The 22,315-nt window shown below is 47.1% G+C and overlaps 1 protein-coding gene across 17 annotated transcripts in view, besides 4 other annotated features; it reads left to right on the top strand.

The window, feature by feature from the left end:
* Positions 2,963-3,462: a silencer, noted in NCBI's record as "silent region_6619". NCBI's record gives its function as "represses an Ori minimal core promoter by ATAC-STARR-seq in GM12878 lymphoblastoid cells {active_cell/tissue: GM12878}" and the evidence as "EXISTENCE:reporter gene assay evidence [ECO:0000049][PMID:35858748]".
* PKM (pyruvate kinase M1/2) overlaps positions 3,003-22,315 on the top strand; it is a 32,563-nt gene continuing 13,250 nt past the window's right edge. For 2 of the 17 annotated variants that reach the window (NM_001411081.1, NM_001206796.3), the window contains exons 1-4: positions 3,404-3,698; positions 13,310-13,426; positions 15,484-15,650; positions 17,094-17,185. In NM_001411081.1, coding sequence (NP_001398010.1) covers positions 3,607-3,698; positions 13,310-13,426; positions 15,484-15,650; positions 17,094-17,185 — 468 coding nt within the window. In that variant the 5' untranslated portion in view covers positions 3,404-3,606. The other 15 variants (XM_047432662.1, XM_047432663.1, NM_002654.6 and 12 more) reach the window with 11 other exon arrangements.
* Positions 4,023-4,532: a silencer, noted in NCBI's record as "silent region_6618". NCBI's record gives its function as "represses an Ori minimal core promoter by ATAC-STARR-seq in GM12878 lymphoblastoid cells {active_cell/tissue: GM12878}" and the evidence as "EXISTENCE:reporter gene assay evidence [ECO:0000049][PMID:35858748]".
* Positions 5,915-6,174: an enhancer, noted in NCBI's record as "active region_9715". NCBI's record gives its function as "activates an Ori minimal core promoter by ATAC-STARR-seq in GM12878 lymphoblastoid cells {active_cell/tissue: GM12878}" and the evidence as "EXISTENCE:reporter gene assay evidence [ECO:0000049][PMID:35858748]".
* Positions 7,592-7,886: an enhancer, noted in NCBI's record as "tiled region #1213; HepG2 Activating DNase unmatched - State 1:Tss, and K562 Activating DNase unmatched - State 1:Tss". NCBI's record gives its function as "activates a minimal TATA promoter and a strong SV40 promoter by Sharpr-MPRA in HepG2 and K562 cells {active_cell/tissue: HepG2 | K562}" and the evidence as "EXISTENCE:reporter gene assay evidence [ECO:0000049][PMID:27701403]".

Raw genomic sequence — 22,315 nt, 5'->3', positions numbered from 1 at the left:
CTCCAAATCATGTCCTCGTAGGCCTTTTATGAAAACTTCCTTGGATAGGCATGATTGATAACCATGTAGAAATATGCTTGGACCAAAAGGTATGATCTCATAGTGATACTCTAGACTGAGTGAGGGAACCCAGCAAGGACTGTCGAGATTTGTCTTGGCCTCTGTGCAGCATCCCTTCCTCCAAGGTACAGGGCAGGACCCCTTCTGAAATGGGGGTCTTGCAACCTACAATCAGAAAAGATATGACAAATAACTTATTTATAGCCAGCTCCAAGACACAAAGTTGGGGGAAGATTTCTGCCTTGGGGGAAAAGGAACAGGTGAAAGGAAGGCAGAAGAAGGCCAGAGAGGGAGAGAGAGAGAATTCTGTTCTCTGAGGCCTGCTTCTGAGCCTAAAGTGCCCCCAACATTATAAACAAAAGACTAACAAGAGCTGTGGGAGTTATAAGCAAGGAACTTTGGATGAAAACTTCTGTGTGTGTGTGTGTGTGTGTGTGTGTGTGTCACAAGGACAGCCCTCCAGGACTAGTCAATTCCCAAAGAAAGAGGATGCCTATTGGGCAGTGTTGGAATCATTCACATACATCATCAAACTCCACCATAAAAGTAAATTGTCCTCAATTTACTTTTGAGGAACTGGACTTCTACACATTAAATTACAATATTTGGTCATAGGGAACTGGAACTAAGGTATGATGGAACCCAAGCTTGATCTTTTTTTGTTTGTTTGTTTGAGACAGAGTCTCGCTGTTAGCCAGGCTGGAGTGCAGTGGCACAATCTCGGCTCACTGCAACCTCCGCGTCTCGGGTTCAAGCGATTCTCCTGCCTCAGCCTCCCGAATAGCTGGGACTACAGGTGCATGCCACCACGCCCGGCTAATTTTTTGTATTTTTAGTAGAGATGGGGTTCGCTGTGTTAGCCAGGATGGCCTCGATCTCCTGACCTCGTGATCTGCCCGCCTCGGCCAACCAAAGTGCTGGGATTACAGGCGTGAGCCAATGGCTGGCACCAGGCCTCCAAGCTTGATCTTCTATACTGTGCTACTTATCGGCAAAAAGAAAATTACCTTCAGTGTGACAAATTTTTACTATGCACTTGTTTGTTTATTTATTTATTTATTTATTTATTTATTTATTTATTTATTTGAGACGCAGTCTCGCTCTGTTGCCAAGGCTGGAGTGCAGTGGCGCGATCTCGGCTCACTGCAACCTCTGCCTCCTGGGTTCAAGCGATTCTCTTGCCTCAGCCTCCCGAGTAGCTGGGACTACAGGCGCCCGCCACCATGCCCGGCTAATTTTTGTATTTTTAGTTGAGACAGGGTTTCACCATGTTGGCCAGGATGCTCTCGATCTCCTGACCTCGTGATCCTACCGCCTCTGCCTCCAAGTGCTGGGATTACAGGCCTGAGCCACCGCACCCGGCCTACTATGCACCTAATGTGAGCAACGATTCGCTGGATTTGTCTCTGCCAGAGGCTCGTGGACAGCATTTCTAGAACTGTCAGATCAAAATCTGCAACTGAGGAGTTAGTTTGCCATCAACTCTACATGTACATTTCAGTCTTGTGAACATATCTAGATTTAGAACTTTTTCGTTTGTTTGTTTTTGAGACAAGGTCTGGCTCTGTCACGGAGGCTGGAGTGCAGTGGAGTGATCTCTGCTCACTACAACCTCCACCTCTCGGATTCAAGCGATTCTGCCTCAGCTTCCCGAGTAGCTGGGATTACAGACGTGCACCACCATGCCCAGCTAGTTTTTGTATTTTTAGTAAAGACGGGGTTTCGCCACGTTGGCCAGGATGGTCTCAACTCCTGGCCTCATGTGATTCGCCGGCCTCGGCTTCCCAAAGTGTTGGGATTACAGGCGTGAGCCACTGCACCCAGACAATTTAGAACTTTAAAATACAATATAGTCCAGCATCGGCCAGATCCTTGCCATCCCAGTGTTGTCCACCACTGTTCTTAGTTTGTCCTCAGCTCAGGGGCCAGGGAGGGACTTTTATGCCATCCCTCTTTCTCTGATAGAGAGGAATCTAACCCTCCCTAGGGGGGCATGTCTTTTTTCCTTCTCAACAACTTCATGTTCTTTCACCACCTTAATAATCAAGCATTTCCTTCCCAACAACAACTAAAGGGACCAGGAAAGACTTACAGAAGAAAGTGAAAGATTTTTATCTCACTTCAAACAGAAATTTACTTTTAGGCTGTCACTGTCTCCTCCCAGCTTATCTGAGCTAACAGGAAGCGAATGAAGGCCTGTGATTCAGCTGCAGGCAGCGGGTATGCCTGAGCAGGTCACACCCATTTGGTCTCTTTTGCCAGGAAAATAAAAAAAGAACCTAAGAGAACGGTCTTCACATTTTGAATGCGCAACATTGTATCTGTGAATGAAGGCAAGAGTTAACAGCTGTTTAATTGATAACTGCTCGCATCATTAGTTGCTGGCTAACAACTGGGAAATCAGAAAATGTCTTGTAGAAAAATGTAAGAAAAGTTCCAACAATACTGACTTAAACACGACAAAGGTGAAAACAGAAATGCTGACTCCTGCATAGGTTATCGGCCCTAATGTTCTGACTTGATATTTCCAGATGCCCAGCTCTGCGCTAATATCAACACCGTCTATTTACTTTCTACTCTGAGGCATTCGCTCTGCAGGATTCCAGACCCTACTAAATTATTCACATGGCCCCAACCGGTCCTTCCTTGTTCCGCGGTCCTAACACAATGAATGGTCCTAAGAGGAAAACGGCCTCGCGCTCCCGCTCCAGGCCCACTTCGCAGTCCCTAGTTCTCCCTACTGCCGCTCCAGTGCCAGAGCCCCTCCGAAGGCGGCCAGGACCTCCAACCACGCACAAGTCTGCAGCTCTCCCCAACTTTCCGTTCAGCTCAGTCTCCGAGGGTGCGCCAGAGCAGACACCCGGAGGAGTGGGGAGTGGCAGGGCGGGGCCGGGAGAATGCTGCCCCGGAACCCATAAATCTGGGCCCTGCCCAGGTAGGCCGGGACAGCTGGGGTGGCCTGGGCCGAGAGCCAAGAAAAGACACCCCATCTGGCAGCCCAACTTGGCGGCAACAGGTGGCCCGGCGCCCGGGGGTCTGGGAGGAAAGTCGCTCCGGGGGCGGGCCCCGTTGCCCCGCCGCGTCCCCATTGGTCATCAGGTTTCTTAAAATGTGACTCTGAATCTGTGTCCTTCCGCCGCAGAATTTAGTCCCACCGAAAGGGCAACCTGCCCGCGCGTTCCGCCGCCGCCGCCGCGCTTCCTCCTGAAGGTGACTGCGCCCGCGGGGACGCAGGGGGCGGGGCCCGGGTCGCCCGGAGCCGGGATTGGGCAGAGGGCGGGGCGGCGGAGGGATTGCGGCGGCCCGCAGCGGGATAACCTTGAGGCTGAGGCAGTGGCTCCTTGCACAGCAGCTGCACGCGCCGTGGCTCCGGATCTCTTCGTCTTTGCAGCGTAGCCCGAGTCGGTCAGCGCCGGAGGTGAGCGGTGCAGGAGGCTACGCCATCAGTCCCCACCAAGGGCCAGTCGCCCGGCTAGTGCGGAATCCCGGCGCGCCGGCCGGCCCCGGGCACGCAGGCAGGGCGGCGCAGGATCCAGGGCGTCTGGGATGCAGTGGAGCTCAGAGAGAGGAGAACGGCTCCTCACGCCTGGGGCCTGCTCTTCAGAAGTCCCCAGCGCCGTTCCTTCCAGATCAGGCGGGTCCGCCGGCTCCTTTCCCGCCCCAGCCCTACCCCCTCATTCTGGTCCCATCCTCTTCCTCCTGCCCCAATCCTCAATGCGCCTCCATCCTCGCCTGCCTTCTCTCGGTCCCTCGTGATTGATTCCACCCTTGCTTCCCCTTTCTCCGCGCCGCCTGTTCCGTGCTCGTTTTCCCCTCTTCCTCCTTAAGTCTGGTCCTTCCACCCCCTCCTCTTCAAGCTGTGCGTGTCCCCTGATTCTAATGCTTTCTGTGTAACTCATTGAAACTGCGTTCTGGTTCCCCTCCCGCGTCCATTCTCCATTCATGCGCGACCGCCCTTCCCGCGCCCCAGTTCCCTCTCGCCGCCCCTCCCCCTGCTTGCTGGTCACGTCCGCTCCCCCGCATCCCCTTCCTCGCCTGGCGTGTCCGCTCCCTCCCTCCCTCTCTGCTCTGGTCGCGCCCGCCCACTTGCTCCGGTCTCCGAGCGCGGTCCCACCCCCCTTTTCCATCACCGCCTCCCAGCTCCCAGCAGGCTCGGGCGGTGCTGAGGCCCCGTGTCCGGGGCGGGCGGGCGGAGGGCTGGGCTGGGTGCCCCGCGCGGCGGGCGGGATGCGGCGGCCCGGGGGCAGCTGGAGACTTACGTAACGTTGGCCTGCCCCGCTGCCGGGAGGCAGGGCGGTTGCCCCTGCGGCGCGGTGCCGTCCCCTGTGGCCGGGATTAGATGGGCGGCCTGCGAGGGCCTGGGAATGGCTCGGGGCCCGAGAGCTCGACCGGCCCTTGCCGGGTGGCCGCCAGGGACCACGCTCCATCTCGCCGCGGCCGGGCTGCACGTAGCGGCCGCGCCCAGGGCCCACCCCGCTTCACCGGGCGATGGCCTTGGGCCTCGTAACGGGCGGGATAAACCTCTGCAGGCTTTGCTGGGGCCTCCTGGCCCTCGCCCGTTCCGCGCCTCTCCGGCACGTTTCTTTCTTTTCCTTTCTTTTTTCTTTCTTTTTTTTTTTTTTAATTATCCGGCACATTTTTTAACAAATGCGTCCTGATTGTGGAACGCGGAGGCCGCGGGGTGGGGTGGGGATCTGGTTACGGAGGGGGCAGGAAATCTGTCGCGTTCACTGAACGCAAACGGTGTGGGTCAAGGGCTGTTTGGGGGTCAGAGTTAGAGACCAGGATGACTAGACGAGTCATAGCCCACCGAGCTCACAATCTTAAAATGTATCTCCTGTAATGCTGGGAGTGGGGTACGAGCTTCCTGCTGTGGGAGGGAGGGGGACAGGAAGCCTCGTAAGGTCTCACCAGGTGGCAAGCACACTGGATTAGAAGATGCAGGAAAGCACCTTCCAGTCTGAAGATCATTTAAAGACTCAGTCATGTAAGGGCATCCCTTGGCTTCTTAATCTACGTACTCCAGACCCAGGGCTTGGACCTTTGCTGGTACGGGTTAAAGTGAGGCCGACAGTGAAGGTCCACGTGGAGAGAGACATTGGGAAGTTGTCAAAAAGGCGTTTAGAATCAGGTTTGACTCATTAATTTCCTGAGACTCTGAAGGAGTTCAGCCTCTACACCTCAGTTTCCCCTGGGAAAACTGGGAGTAACATTTTCCTCATGATGGTTGAAAGGATTCATGCTTACGTGGATGTGGCACACTCAGTAAGTGTCTAATCTCTGGCGAAATACCCAGAAGAAAAGCCTGTGACTGAATATATTATTTTTGAGCACAATTACTTAGTCCACAATTGAGCATAAGGGCCTTGATCCATTGTCTTCCTACTGTCCCCAAACGCCTACAGCTAATCGTGAGGAATCAGGCTCTCTGAATAACCACGTGTCTCCTGGAAACCAGTTCCCCAAGGGATCTGGTTTAATATTGACAAAGTAACTGATAATGTAACTTTCCAACTCTCTGCTTGGAGCAGATGCTTTTTGGTCATCTGAGATTGGGACCTGTAGACAAAGGCAGGCAAGGAGGGGCTGAGTTAAGCCTTTGGTGTTCCGCTGTAAGTAGAATACTACCTACCAGAGGAACATTCCAGCCCTTGACTTGCTCTGCCTGCTGGTGAGATTAGGATTGGAGCCAGGGTCAGTAGCCCCCAGTTGGCCGTCTTGAGGGTGTGGCCACTCCCTAGGTCACAGAGGAGATGGAGGTCAGGACTCCCCTGCTGCAGCGTTGTTAGCAAATAATTTGCCCTTTGGTGGCCTGAGGTGCTGTGGGGGCAGGAGTGGGCTGTCTTGTGGGGAAGGGAAATGTAACGTATCACCAAATCTGTGGGGGAGTGGGGCTCTGTGGGGAAGATGACTCAACCTTTCAATTATTCTGCTTTTGAGAGAATTATCTTCGCTGGGTGAGTGGGGAAACTACATTGTGGTTCTTGCAGGCTTAAAAAGTCCCTTCTCCCCTTTCAGTGAGTCAGATAATGAAGCATGCATTTCCCCTAATTAAAAATGCCTCAACTACGGAGCTTGCAGTGAGCCGAGATCGCGCCACTGCACTCCAGCCTGGGCGACAGAGCGAGACTCCTTCTCAAAAAAAAAAAAAAAAAAAGCCACAACTAATTAAAAAATGATTGGTCCGGGTCACCTGGTTCTCTGTACTGCCTTAAGAGCTTAAGTGTAGACTGGCAGAGCCCGGTGCCCAGCTAATGCCGTCTGTGCAGCTTCATTCCTGGCCCTTTTGTAGCGGGCACAGCCGCCTCTCCTGGGACTTGATTAATGATGACTTAAAGAAGGTTCTTGAACTCATTTCTCAGTTACTGACTTGAGCCAAAATGTATGGATGTTGGTCTCCTGTCTAGCACAACTGCTTTCATTTTAAGCATTGCATTAGAAATAATGTTGTATTCATATTTTAGCAAAGAGCATCATTAGCTCTTTAAGAACCGTACCCCCAGTGACTTAGCAAATTTGGTGGCGGTGACTCTAAACAGCTAGCACTTTATGGGAGTTGCTTCTGTGCCTTGAATGTTGTGACACTGATGTGGGGTCACAGGAAAAACCATTTTATTTCCTAAAGCTGTTTATTTCTTAATATTGAGGCAATGGAAGAAATGAGGAAACGGCCGTGGGCAGGAAGGTAGAAGAAAATGCAGCACTTACATTACAAACTCACTTTACTTGGGTTTTAGTTTATTTTGCTTCAGTTTTTTGTTTTTTTTTTTTTTTTTTTTTTTTTTTTTTGAGATAGTTTTGCTCTTGTTGCCCAGTCTGGAGTGCAATGGTGTGATCTCGGCTCACTGCAACCTCCACCTCCTGGGTTCAAGCAATTCTCCTGCCTCAGCCTCCCGAAGTAGCTGGAATTACAGGCACTTGCACCACGCCCAGCTAATATTTTTGTATTTTTAGTAGAGATGGGGTTTCACCATGTTGGCCAGGCTGGTCTTGAACTCCTGACTTAGGTGATCCACCGGCCTCGGCCTCCCAAAGTGCCGGGATTACGGGCGTGAGCCACTGCACCTGGCCTGCTTCAGCTTTTATGAAGGCAAGTCAGGATGTGTTATCTTGGCCAAGAGCTAAGACTGAGACCGGAGTAGAGGAAAATGACTCATTTGACATTACCCTTCTTTCTGAATCACTCCAAAAGTCCACAGTCAAATCTCAATTAGCTGGTATAACACAAGAATGCGTTGACCCTGTGAGCAGAGTTTTATTGCATCTTCAAGGGTCTTCGTGAGATTGGTTTATTTGGTATGAGGTCTTAAGGATTTTAAGTTGTCCCTTTAAGCATCAGTTCTGATACAGATGGGAATAGAGCTAAACAACCAGATATATGAAGACCATTTTTGATACCACCATACTTGCGGGGAGCTTGCATTTTTTTACCAAGGGGCAGACTGGATAATTGAGTAATTTAAATACTTGGGACTTTGTTAAAGAAGCTGTTGGGGGAAGGTGAGCCTGGGTGAGTGGTGGAGGGTGATGTGCAGCATCTGCTGGGCCTTCCTGCCTCTTGGTATGACTGCTCAGCTCAGGAGTTGGGTGCTTTAGGGCCCCTACCATGCAGTGCGGTGAAGCCCCGCCCCTGCAGTGGTTTGTGCTTGTCTGCACGTAGGAGGGAACAAGCCGGCTGCAGTACCTTCGGTGGCCTCTGAGACTCACCTCCCCCACTTCTGTCCATAGACAAAGCTCCTGGGGAGCCCTAAGCCTCTTTCCTCATGCCAGCAAGCAGTCTTGGAAGCAGGCTGGGGCTGCAGTGGGAGAGATGCCAAGACCAGTTATTCAAGGGCAGTGAGGTTGCCAGTCCTAGCATTTCACACTGTGGACCAGCACAGCTGCTGGCTGAATACTGCAGTCAAGATTCTCTGAAGGGAGTCCTATCCCTTCCAAACATCTTCAGTTTACTTGCAGATAATGTTTCTTCATTTTTTATTTTATTTTATTTTATTTTATTTTTTTGAGACGGAGTCTCGCACCATGACCCAGGCTGGAGTGCAGTGGTGCAATCTCAGCTCACTGCAAGCTCCGCCTCCCGGGTTCATGCCATTCTCCTGCCTCAGCCTCCTGAGTAGCTGGGACTACAGGCAACCGCAACCACGCCTGGCTGATTTTTTTTGTATTTTTTAGTAGAGACGGGGTTTCACTGTGTTAGCCAGGATGGTCTCAGTCTGCTGACCTCGTGATCCACCTGTCTTGGCCTCCCAAAGTGCTGGGATTACAGGCATCAGCCACCGCGCCTGGCCATGTTTCTTCAATTTTAAACAACTGATATCTCCCTTGGCCATGAACGAAAAAGAACTGCCCATCAGTGGAGTCAGTCAGGGCACATAAGACACACTGTGTCCACCATGCCATTTCAGAGGAGATTTGATTGAGTTAAGCAGGGAAATAGAGATGTTGTAAACGTTGAAACTATCTGGGTATCCCTCTTTGGTTATTAACATTAGATGAGCAGAAAAACAAATGTCACCGATGGGCAAACATTTAAAAAGTCTGGCAGTACCAAGTGTGGAAAAAGGTGTGGAAGGCAGCAACTCAGCGTTCATTGATATAGCCACTTTGGAGAGCAATTCAGCCTTATTTAGTAAAAATAGAAATAAACATACTCCATGACCTAAGACTTCAATTTCTGGATATATAGAAACTCACACAGTACAGGGAGACATGTACTACAAGAGTATTGATTAATAGAAGAAACTTAGTTTAACGGGGAGGGAGAGTGGCCACCAGTAAGACAGTCCATAAATAAAATGGTCTGTTGTACAGTGGACTAGTGTAACAGCTTAAATGAATTAGCTAGATCCATATACCCACTGGATGGATCTTAAATGTGCTGCTGAGTGAAAAACAAGTTACTCAGTGATATATACAGTATACCACTTAGGGCATTAAGAAAACCACAATATTATAGGGTTCAGTATAGACATAGATACACTGTACATAGACTTCAGTGAACTGGAAGGATATAGAGTTCATGACAGTGATTGGGTGTCAAAATGCATGATGTGGCTGGGAGCAGTGGCTCACACCTGTAATCCCAGCACTTTGAGAGGCTGATGCAGGAGGATCACTTGAGGCCAGGAGGTCGAGACCAGCCTGGGCAACATCGCAAGATTCCCATCTCTATTTAAATAAATAAAATAGAAAAAAAAGTTTAAGATGGAGGTGGAAAGGGTTGGAGGAGCTTGGGGATGGAGAAAAAATGAACTGTATAAAATTAAAATTCTTGTTTTTGTTTTTAGAAAGTAAAGAGGGCCGGGCACAGTGGCTCATGCCTGTAATCCCAGCACTTTGGGAAGCTGAGGTGGGCGGATCACGAGGTCAGGAGATTGAGACCATCCTGGCTAACACGGTGAAACCCCGTCTGTACTAAAAATACAAAAAAAAAAAAAAAAAAAAATTAGCCGGGCCTGGTGGCGGGCGCCTGTAGTCCCAGCTACTCAGGAGGCTGAGGCAGGAGAATGGCCTGAACCTGGGAGGTGGAGCTTGCAGTGAGCTGAGATCGCGCCAGTGCACTCCAGCCTGGGCAACAGAGCGAGACTCCATCTCAAAAAAAAAAAAAAAAAGAAAAAAGAAATTAAAGAAAATACAGCTCAGCCTTTATTTGTGTTTTTTTTTTTTTCCTTTTTTTCTGAGACAGAGTTTTTCACTCTGTTGCCCGGGCTGGAGGGCAGTGGTGCGATCTCCGTTCACTGCAGCCTCCACTTCCTGGATTCAAGCAATTCTGTGTCTCAGCCACCCAAGTAGCTGGGATTACAGGTGCGCGCCTGGCTAATTTTTGTATGTTTAGTAGTGATGGTGTTTCACCATATTAGCCAGGCTGGTCTCGAACTCTTAGCCTCAAGTGATCTGCCCGCCTCAGCCTTTCAAACTGTTGGGATTACAGGCGTGAGCCAACACAGCCAGCCATGGCTCAGTGTTAATGGTCAGTTCTGGGTGGTAGAGAGGCAGATGTTAAAACTTTTTTTTCTTTAATTCGTAACATAGAAGCAAACCTATAAAGGCTGCCGTAGGAAGACCAGTCATAGTAACTAGTTCAGTGCTCTTGGAGAGTTGGCACTGCCTTTCCTCCTTTATCCCCCCGACTAGAATGCAGGGCAGCCCTTCCAGTAAATGTTGAGCCAGTGCCTCACTTTGCTGAGGCCATCACCCACCTTAGTTGCACTTAAGAGGACCCTAAATCAGGGTCCCAGGTCCCTTGCTGATTTTAGAGTGTGGATATCATACCCAGAAACACCGCCCTACTTTTAATCCTAGTAAGGAGGCACCATGTCCCAGGACAACTAATGCTTCCCCCAAACCACCTCCTTCAGGCTGAAACCAGTTCTCTGCACTGAGCAGCTGGGATGGAACCAGGAAATCCTCGGCATCTGAGGACATTGAGGGGTCTCTGACTTAGGGCTTCTTCACCTGAAGTTGAGTGGTCTTTGAGGGAAGTAGGCCCATTTAGCATCAGCTGCTCTTCCCTATTCCACACTCTAGTTGGAAATAGGACCTTAGGTTCCTGTTGACAAGTCATTTACTTTCAGCCCCGAAGAAATAAAAGAGCCAAGATTTTTTTTTTTTTTTTAAAGCCAGGGAATTTTACTAGAACCTACAAGTGGGCTCATTTTGTTCTGTGTAGCCTGGTAACACCATACTGCTTTCTGCTGTGGGGCCTCCTGGGGTTAAAGTGTGGGCTTAAGACCCAGGTCTCTTAGCTAGAAGATATCTTATCCTCTGTATCCTGCACCCATATGCAAATACATTATTGTCATTACCCTTAACTATAGATGAAGATGAACAGTGCCTATTCCAGACCTTACTAGGTTCTGCTGGCCCGTCACCCATTTTGATCATGTTGCTGGCCTAGTTTGATTAGGGCAAATCTTAGAAACTCCATTTCCATTGTTGAGGAAGAGAACTAGAGAGCAGGCTGACCTGAATGCCAGCGTATCATGATGCAGACTTTCTAACGGATGCAGGTGTTCGGAAGAGTTGTGGATCGAAACGCCTTCATGATGGCTTGGAGGTGTAGGTAGCAAACTGACGTCACAGGAAGGAACACAATCTTGGGTACCTACTGGCAACGTTGGAGGGAGAAAGTGAGCATCAGGTGCCATCATTTTATAGTTGATCTATGTGATGAGGTTGGTATCGGAGCATAATTGGTACAAAGGAAAAATGACTTAGGCAGATGCAGACTCACGGGCCAGGCTATTTTATTAGGGCAGAATGATTTGGTCCTTTGTGGAAGAATTGGTGGAGTGAAGCGTGAATCTTTCCCAGCACAACCCAACAACAGTCCTGGCCCTAAGAAGTGGAGCATGGGAGTTGGGTGTGGTTCGTGCCTGTAGTCCCAGCTACTTGGGATGCTGAGGCTGGAGGATCGTTTGAGGGTGCAGTGAGCTATAATATAATATAATCACACCACTGCACTCCAGCCTGGGTGACAGAGTGAAACCCTGTCTGAAAAAAAAAAAAAAGAAAAAAAAAAAGTTGGAGGGAGGAGTGTTGGGTATTTTTTATGATTTTTGTCTCCTGGTTTCTGAAGAATGGCCAAAAAATTGTGTCTGACACAAAGGAAACTAATATAAAAAGCCAGGAGCTGTCTGAGATGAGAAAGGAAAGGGAGAATAGGGCACTTGGAGCTGAGCTGTGATTGTGCCTGTTCCAACCTGTCACTCCAGACTAAGGCCTCTTAGAGATGGTGTCTCCTTTCTCACAGAGGAGACATGGCTCTGAGGAAGATCTTACTGCAGGGGCTCGGGCTCAAGAATAAGGCTCCTGGACCTGGGCATGGTGTGTGCTGCTATCAGTGGATACGCCAGGCTTCCACTGCTGGCTGGAGGTTGGCTCTGCATGTCTGTGCCTTCCTAGGAGGAGGATGCAATAGTGAGTCAGACTGGCATGGGTGGGGCCACATGTCCTGGCAGGCACTGTCCAGGCAGCTGGCATGAGGGAGAGGAGTCTTTCCCAGAAGTCCGCCCTGAGAAACCAAGGCTGGGCTGCTCTCCTGGAGCCAGGGGAGTCCAGTGAGTGTTTTACATACAACTCTAGGTACGTGGTTGGTGGGATGGGCAGTTTGTGCTGGGAAGAGGCTTGTGGAGGATTTTGGAGAAGGCAGGAGAGCTCTGGCCCTCCCTGCAAGGGAGGCTTCAGGTCAGAGCCTGAGGAAAGACCTGGGCATGAGATATGAGGTCTCTGGCTGGGTAGAGAGCATGAAGGACACATGAGATCTGGAGTCTGGATGAACTTGCTGACAAGCAAGCTTTTTTTGACTGCTAATGCGTAAATCCACTATAGAAATTTTCATTTGTCATTTTTGTACTTATTGGCAAAAAATTAGAGCTTATAGGCATCAGATTTAATTTGAGATAGTTGAAATAGGGTTTGTGTTTGAGGCCAATATAATTTTATCTGCTAATGGCATCTCGTGGACTTGGAGGCAGCCCTTCTGTACCAGAACATTGTCAAAAGCTTTTACTGTAAAGCTTGAGAACAAACTAGTTTGCTGGATTTGGGCATGTAACTAACAGGTTTGAGGCATGGGATTATCCTGTGGACTTTTTTTTTTTTTTTTTTGCTTTGAGGTTCTGAATGTATTAAGGTTGACCTTCTTAAGCCGTTGAAACTGTTCTGCAGTACATTTGTGATGTAGGGCCTAAGACTTGTATCGTTTTTTTTTTTTAATCACAACCCAGTGTACAGAACTTGAGACATGCGTCTTTTCTCTGCCACCTTTTAAAAGCAGATTATTCTTGAAGTGCATAGAGCAGCAATTGATTAATGGAATTGGTGTCTTCACATTTCATTTACTTCCTCCCAACAATTTTATAGGATGCATATAAATATTTCCAAAAGAGGTACACATAATTTCTTACTATAAAAGTATTTTTATATTTATATCAGTAAATTTGTTAATAAAGAGGATTTTTTTTTTTCTGTAATCCTACCACCCCAATGACGTCCTATTAAAATTTCAGTATATATCCTCCCAGGTCTTTTAGGTATGTTTAATTTGGTGTCCCTTCCCCGCTCCCAAAAGGGGAGGGACCAGGTTCTTGTATAGAATAGTGGAATGTTAGTAAATCACAGGTTTAAAGAGACATAACAGTGGAATCTCTAGAGCAGCTGTCACCTGGATACCTGGTTATTAAGGTAATTTTTCCATTACCCCAAAGAGCTTTAGTTACACTCAGCTTTTTCCTTAATCCTTGTGCAGCTCTCCAGGGCACACCGTATTCAGCTCTGAGCGGTCTTTGCTAGTGAGGCCAAGGAGCCACCCTGAGCCAAAAGGGGAGCATTATGTCACCGGAAGCCCAACCCCAGAGAACCAAAGGTATGACCTGATATTCAGTGGCCCCAGCCAGGTCTTTACAGGAAGACCCTCATATCTCAGGTCTAAGAAGAGCCAGCTGATGGTTTTTAAAAAGAGTGGAATTAGTTACTCCAACCCACTTATTCAGATCTTATTTTGTTCACAATACAGTCCCTAGATTGTAGGCCCATTGGAGGCCACAGCAAAGCCTTTGTGTTCCAGTTGGCCTGATGTGCCATCTCTCAGTAATGTTCCCTTAACAGCCAGACTTCCCTAAGCCCAGCTGGGAGCTCTGAAGGTATGCGAGCCCTCCCTCAACCATGAGTGTAGGGAAAGGGACCAGGGGCCCCAGGCTTTCCTGTCAGTAATGCAGAAGTTCCTCAGATTTAGGGAAGGGGGAGCAGAGGCATAACTTTGATTCTGACAAAGAGGCATTCAGAGAGACTGAAAGGTCATTTAACAAACACTGGAATGCTTCCACATACTAGGTGCTAGGAGATACAAAACCATATAGGTCCTGGAAGGGAGGATTGATTTTTTCATTTTGGTACGTAGTAGATATTAGGGGCTTAGGAAATACACATCGAAATGAAGAGTGCATTTGCCATGTTGAACCGTTAGCCGGTATCTTATTTCCCCATTTTAAAAGTTTTAGAATCTGTGGTTGAGGACTTGTGGCCATCAGTTTTCCATAGCCAACAGACTGTTCACTACTGCCTTCAGAGCTCCTTGGACCTCAGCGGGCCTTCTTTGGAGATGGCAGAGATGGATTTAGATGTATACTCTACTCGAGCCACCCAGAGAGCCCACAAAGTCAGAGATGGAACAGGGTAAAGGAGTAAGGGTCATATGTGTGAGATGCCTTGATTTGGAACTTTGAGATTTAGGATGAGGTGGGGAAGGGCTAAAGAGGAGCTTGTTCCTGAGCCTTGCTTGGCCGAAGCATTTAGGCTCAAGCGTTTTAGAAAGAGTAGCCCTTGGTCTGAGAACTCAAGGAAACAGCTTTCTGATGAGACGTGTAGCAAGCTTCTGGTTCACATCCTTACCTGATAGTTCTTCAAACACTGCCTGGTCTGGTTCACATCCTTACCTGATAGTTATTCAAACACTGCCTGGAAGCTTCTCCTGAGTTTTTGTCTCTAATCAGCTAACTAACAGGCTGAGTGAGTTTAGTTGTAAGTCATTAATGAAGAAAGCAAAGGTTGGGGCCATTGTCAGGGTTGTGACCTGGGCTAGTTAATTACCTGGAACTGATGGTCTGTGTTACAGAGTGGTGGTATACTTGTCAGGCTTAGAAAAGAAATCAGGATGTGTATCAAAAATCATTTGGGGAAAAGATTTGACCAGCAACTTTAATTTCTCTATGTTTGCAACTATCCTGTTAATGTAGTTGTGATAATTTCAGAATTATACCAGTGCCCTTATGTTATCCTTGCTTTGCAAATTGCAAATTGCTTTGCGTGTCCTGACATCCTTCTGGCCAACAGTAGATGTGGTTTTAGGTTTAGACTCCTGGGATGGAAGCTTTTGCATTCAGGGGAATGACTTTGGGTTTGGGTGAGGATTGTAAAGAGGCAATATGGGTGCCCCACGACAAAGCAGCTATTTGTAGCTTTGTGACAGCTTGACATGCAGAGATCTAGGCTTATCAAGGCACTAAGCTAGGAGTCAGTTGTTTGTATCACTGGAAGATTGGTTACAACTTCCTTCATTGGAAGCTCCTTCAGTGCATGTTAAATGATGTTATTTATAGATAGGGTGGTGAGAAAGCTGTCTAGGTAGATGTCAGTCAGCCCAGTGTAAGAGAGACCTGCTTACTGTGGGTGCTTGGGACTATGTGGAGTGGGTGGGAGGTTTTAACTTGTTCAGTAAGGTCCTTTCCATTGTTCACAATCTGGTGAACCCTTTTTCTAACATGAGGAGCACCCACATAACCAGATCATGTCTGGCTTCCCTGTGGCTTGTGTACAAAGCGTGCTTATTGAGTTAATGTGTAAGCAGGAGACAGCCTTCTGTGCTAAATGGTATATTAACCACTTCTCAGTCTTACCACTCTCTTTCAATTTGTCTCGACCCAGGACCTCAGCAGCCATGTCGAAGCCCCATAGTGAAGCCGGGACTGCCTTCATTCAGACCCAGCAGCTGCACGCAGCCATGGCTGACACATTCCTGGAGCACATGTGCCGCCTGGACATTGATTCACCACCCATCACAGCCCGGAACACTGGCATCATCTGTACCATTGGTGAGTGGGTGTGCCCCTTCCCCCAAAAAAGGGCTTCATGGGCAGTGACCTTTCTCTCCTGAAAAGAGTAACTAAATGTCCTAACAAACCTAGGTGCTACATGGGATACTACACAGATTCTTATGAAAGGACTCAGGTCATAGGAAGTTGCAGTAAAGAATTAGTATGTGCATAGGATGGCAAATACAGTTAATAAGAGAGTATTAGACATTTCAAAATTGCTAAGATGGCGAGGTATGGTGGCTCCCAGCACTTTGGGAGGCCAACGTGGGAGGATTGCCTGAGCCTCGAAATTTGAGACCAGCCTGAGCAACTTAGACCCTGTCTCTCCAAAAAGTGAAAAAAAAAAAAAAAAAATTAGCTGGGCATGGTGGCATGCACCTGTAGTTCTGGCTACATGGGAGGCTGAGACAAAGATCACTTGAGTCCAGGAGATTGAAGTTGCAGTGAGCCATGATCACACCACTGCACTCCAGTCTAGGCAACAGAGCGAGATCCTGTCTTAAGAAAAAAAAATTGTCCGGGCGCAGTGGCACATGCCTGTAATCCAGCACTTCGGGAGGCTGAGGCAGGTGGATCACCTGAGGTCAGGAGTTCGAGACCAGCCTGGCCAACATGGTGAAATCCCATCTCTACTAAAAATACAAAAAAATTAGCCGGGGGTGGTGGCGGGTACCTATAATCCCAGCTACTTGGGAGGCTGAGGCAGGAGAATTGCTTGAACCTGGGAGGCGGAGGTTGCAGTGAGCTGAGATCTGACCATTGCACTCCAGCCTTGGCAACAAGAACGAAACTCTGCCTCAAAAAAAAAAGGAAGAAAAAAGAAAAAAACATCGCTAAGAGTAAATTTCAAATGTTCTCACCACAAAAATGTTAAGTATTTGAAGTCATGGATATGTTAACTAACCTGATTTAATTATTCCACATTGTATCCAAACTGTATGTATTGGATTACATAACTTTGTAACCCAAATTATAAATTACCAGTTTATAATAAAAAATAATTTGTTGCAAAAAGAATCCATATGGTTTAGGTTTTATGCTATAGGCAAAATTTAGAAGATGTTTTCCTTAGCAGGTCTTTGTAGGAGCAACTTAAAGACCTAGGAAAGATCTTTCTAACATGTTCTGTGCTACCAAGATTCTGTGGTTGGACATCTGGCTGGGTTTCAGTGAGGGTGGAGAAGGCTGGCCAAGTCTTAACCTAGGCTTTTCTGATACAGTGGGAGCCTGCAGAACTTGAAGGAAATGGTCGAAGTGTCCCAGTAGATCAAGAAAGTAAGCTGGCACGGTAGTAGCCTTCCATGCACTTTTTAAAGACTTTTGAGCTATTTGGGAGAGGAAAAGTTTTCAGGGAAAAAAATTCTTTAAACTTAAGCAAACTTAAATGTTTTTCCTTCTTTGAATAATTAATACTTGTGGCTTTAAAACTTTTCCTAATAGGCCCAGCTTCCCGATCAGTGGAGACGTTGAAGGAGATGATTAAGTCTGGAATGAATGTGGCTCGTCTGAACTTCTCTCATGGAACTCATGAGGTGAGCTGTGGCTGGACCCTATGGCCATTGTGATGGCCTGTAGGAAACAGGGAGGGGGTGCAGTGTTCGTTTAGCCACAGTGGACTAGACAAGGATGAGTCTGAGTTTCACAGTCAGTGTGAAGTTTGTCTTTACTAGCCCATCCCTACTCTCCTTCCCTCTTGTCCTGACAAAGCAACTGGCTGAGTCTCTTTTAGCAAAAAGGACCCCCTTTGTTGCTGGCTGTGGTTCTCCCACACACCTCTCCTACCCTTAGCTTTTACAAAGGAAGATATGGAAAGGTTCTACTGGAAAACCCTCTAAGCCTTAGGTGTCCTGGCCACAGCGCTTGACTCTCCTGTCCCAGGGTTTCTGCTTCACCTTGTGTTGCCATGGTAAACCATCTAGCAGATTGATTCTAGCTTAGAACCAAAATAACTGGGCAGGTCCATGAGAACGGTTTCCACTATTCTAAGTTTTGAGGGACTGAGCCTAATGCATAAGCACTATCTGGGGTGTAATACCCCACTTCCTCAGCACTGTATTCTCAGCCTGTGCCTTCCCAGGGGTTCTGGTACATTAAAATAACACCAGTTAGCACTCTTCCCCAGGAGCCTAGTAGGACTGTATTTGTGCTGGGCTCTTTATTAGCTGGCTTTACCTATGGACAGAGGCCTTGCCCAGGAGCCAGGTAGCAGCTGTTGGGATGGCTCCATTCCTGCCTCCATTGCCAGATTTAGAATTAACCCATTCTGAGGAGCTTGGGGTTCCCTGAGGTACCATGACTTATTTATTTTTTTATTTTATAAAACAAAATTTTGCTCTGTCATCCAGGCTGGACTGCAGTGGTATGATTATGGCTAACTGGATCCTTGACCTCCCAGGTTCAAGTGATCCTCTTGCCTCAGCCTCCCGAGTAGCTGGGAATACAGGCATGCACCACCACACCTGGCTAATTTAAAAATTTTTTTGGGGGAAATGAGGTCTCACTATATTGCCTTGGCTGGTCTCAAACTCCTGGGCTCAAGTGATTCTCTCAAATGTTGGGATTACAGGAATGAGCTACCATGCTCAGCCTGGGATTGTGCCTTTTTAAAACCTTCAGACTTAACCATAGGTTTCCCATAGATCATGGGATTTCGTAATGGCATTGATAAGAGGAATTACAGAAGAGGCAAACTTTGCACCTGTCTTGGCTTCTGTATTTCCTGTTGAGAGTAAAGAAAATGCTATCCTGTAAGGCCAATTGCCTTACAGAGGTTGCCCTCTGGCATTTGGAAGTTGGTATTAAGTTTGGACTAAAAATAAAGCCTCAGGAAATGCAATCCAAGAGTGAATTCCTCCTTTTGGGAAACACAAGACTCTTCATCATAGATTCCCTAACCTGTGTTCATAAACAGCCTATGGCCTGGCTAGTGGCTGGCCCTTAAATGTCATGGGGACCTGACCAAGTCCAGCAGACATACCATGTAGGTTAAGACATGTCCCTGTACCTTTTGGAAAATTCTGTAGTTTTCCAAAAGCAAGGGGTCCTTAGCAGGAGTCACCGAGAATTACTTGTTAGAGAATTAAGTGTTAGCTTAGCTTAGAGAGAGCTGAAGACAATGCTGGAGGTCTGTTCGCTGTTGATCCCTGCTGCTGTAGTCTGCCATGGGCTCCTGCATTCAGGGGAAGGAGCAGAAATAGATTTTTAAGAAGTTGACCTTTAAGTAGGCTTTATGGTTCCTTCATCCAGTAAAATAACACCACATAGCTCTAACATGGCAAGGGCGAGTGATACCTGCCACACCTGCTGGATGAGAGCTGGCTCCGATTTTGGTATTTTAAACTTTAAGAGGCTTTTGGAGATTATCTCTACTTTCACTCCTATTCCCAGATTATAATTAAGATTTATTTTTTATTTTTTATCTATTTATTTTTTAAAGATGTCCCTCTTGTGTGTTCATTTTGAAGTTTTAGACCAAGATGAGGTTGTGTGTGGGCTCAGCTTGGAAACTGATCTGAAATTATTCTAATTTATATAATGTAATGTAAACAGTTTCAGCCTTACCATACGTCAGGGCTATCGTTTCATGTGCACCTTTGACTAGGGGCTGGGGCGTACTTTTCCAGTTTCTGACTATTTTAAATGCTCTTCTGAGCAGAACGTTGAGATTACTGTCTTCCCTCTCACTCTGACAGAGGGACATCAAATGTCTGCATCTGATCTTTTAACAGCTTTTTTTTTTTGAGACAGAATCTTGCTCTGTTGCCCAGGCTGGAGTGCACTGGCACAATCTCTGCTCACCACAACCTCTGCCTCCCAGGTTCAAGCAATTCTCATACCTCAGCCTCCTGAGTAGCTGGGATTACAGACCTGTGCCACCACGCCCAGCTAATTTTTTTATATTTTTAGTAGAGACGGGGTTTCGCCATGTTGGCCAGGCTGGTCTTGAACTTGTGACCTCAGGTGATCCGACTGCCTCGGCCTCCTAAAGGCGTGAGCCACCACGCCCAGCCCTCTTTTAACAGCTTTGGCAACTAGTCTTCAGCCCTCACTTTTGGCAGTTCACATGGGCAAGATGCATTCTTGCTGAACATGTGGTTCCATATGCCATGTTTTCCAGATTTATTTATTTATTTATTTATTTATTTAGAGAGGGAGTCTCGCTCTGTCATCCAGGCTGGAGTGCAGTGGCACGATCTTGGCTCACTGCAACCTCTGCCTCCTGGGTTCAAGAGATTCTTCTGCCTCAGCCTCCTAAGTATCTGAGATTACAGGCACCTGCCACCACACCCGACTAATTTTTGTATTTTAGTAGAGACTTGGTTTCACCTTGTTGGCCAGGCTGATCTCGAATTCCTGACCTCAAGTGATCCATCCGCCTTGGCCTCCCAAATTGCTGGGATTACAGGCGTGAGCCACCACACCTGGCCTAGAAATAATGACTTTTAAACAACCTAAATGTAGAGCCTTCCACAGGACAGCATTGATGGATGCTTTACCACATAACATCCCAATAAAGCCACAGCTGAAGTGGAAGACTCAGTACACCTCCCAGAGATGCTCTAAGAGATTATGATATATGACATAGATTTGAATAATATACCTAATAATTGGTATGTTTATAATATATGGTTTTACATCCCCAAGACCAAAAATGCATGTTTGCATGAAACACTCATGGTTACAAAAATATATTAGGCCACCAAAAAAACCCCCACGTTTCATAAAGTAGAAATTATACAGACACATTCTCTGATAAAATTTTTTAGTGGAAATTAAGAACAAAGTCAAGAAAACTGAAGTGTGCTTACTTTAGAAAGCAAAGATCTCAAGGTAGATGAAATAAATATTTAACTCAGAACACTAGGGGAGGAAAACCCTAAAAAGGGTGAAGAAAATAATTTTGTAAGATTATAGCTCAATGAAATGAAAATAAATTTGACAGATTAAGCTAAGAGCTGATTCTTTGTGGGGAAAAAATAGTAAAATAGAAAGTTCTGAGAAGCCAGGTGAAGAATGCGAGGATGTGCAAATAAGAGTATGAATAGAAAAGAGAATATTTCCTACACATTGGAGATTTTAAAAGTCAAGAAAGACTTATAACTTAATTCCTATATAGAGAGATGACTCTGGCTATTTTCAAAGAAAAGATAAATATCCAAAAGATAGAAAATATGAATAGACCAGTGGCCATAAGAAGTTGAAAAAGTGGGCTGGGCGTGCGGTGGCTCACACCTGCAATCCCAGCACTTTGGGAGGCCAAGGCGGAGGGATCACTTGAGGTCAGGAGTTCGAGACCAGCCTGGCCAACATGGTGAAACCCTGTCTCTACTAAAAATACAAAAATTGGCTGGGCATGGTGGCACATGCCTGCAGTCCCAGCTACTCGGGAGCCTGAGGCAGGAGAATCGCTTGAACCTGAGAGGTGGAGGCTACAGTGAGCCAAGATCGCGCCACTGCACTCCAGCCAAAAAGTTGAAAAAGTGATTAAGATCTGGTTCACCTCAGAACACTTAAGTCCAAATGATTTTAGTGGCTGAATTGTCTCCCCTTCAAAGTTCAGTTACATTGTTAAACTGTTCCAGAGCCTAGAGAAATATAGAAATCTTCCCACTGTGTTCTTTGAAACCAATATACGCTGATACTGAGATCAAACAAGGACAGTACCAAAACCAGGCAGGTACTAACAGTTAGTGTGCTAGACCAGTCTCACTTAGATGCAGAAAACAAATAAAATTTAATAATCCAAATCCAGTAGTGATTGAAAGGAATGTCTTGATCCATGACCAAGTAGATTTTATTCTAGGAGAACAAAATTCTACATCGGGATTAAGTAGAGTTAAGGTTGACATTTTTTTTTTTTTCTTCTGAGACGGAGTCTCGCTCTGTCACCCAGGCTGGAATGCAGTGGCACGATCTCGGCTCACTGCAACCTCTGCCTTCCGGGTTCACACCATTCTCTTGCCTCAGCCTCCCGAGTAGCTGGGACTACAGGCGCCTGCTACCACGCCCGGCTAATTTTGTTTTTGTACTTTTAGTAGAGACGGGGTTTCACCATGTTAGCCAGGATGGTCTCGATCTCCTGACCTTGTGATCCCCCCTCCTCGGCCTCCCAAAGTGCTGGGATTACAGGCGTGAGCCACTGCGCCTGGCCTGAGTTAAGGTTGACTTTTAAACAACCTAAATATAGCTAAATATAGAGCCTTCCGCAGGACAGCATTGATGTGTGGAACTCTTATCCACGTGATAACATCCCAACAAAGCCACAGCTGTAGTGGAACTCAGTACACCTGAGTCTTATCATTATAAGATGATAATAGGTAACATTTATTAGATAATTACCATGTACTTTGTCCTAATACTTCATGTATTCTTTTACTCCTCACGTCAACTCTGAAGGAAAGGCACCACCTATCCCCTTAAAAGAAAACAACTATTACTATTCTTTTTTTTTTTTTTCTTTTAGAGACGGAATCTCACTCTGTCTGTCGCCCAGGCTGGAGTGCAGTGGCACGATCTCGGCTCACTGCAACTTCTGCCTCCTAGGTTCAAGTGGTTCTCTTGCCTCAGCCTCCTGAATAGCTGGGACTACAGGTGCACGCCACCACGCCCAGCTAATTTTTGTATTTTAAGTTGAGACGAGGTTTCACCATGTTGGCCTGGTT

Source organism: Homo sapiens, chromosome 15, assembly GCF_000001405.40.
Source record: "Homo sapiens chromosome 15, GRCh38.p14 Primary Assembly".
Classification (NCBI taxonomy): Eukaryota; Metazoa; Chordata; class Mammalia; order Primates; family Hominidae; genus Homo; species Homo sapiens.
The sequence above is the reverse complement of the archived record's forward strand: the minus strand, read 5'-3'. Positions and strand labels throughout refer to the sequence as shown.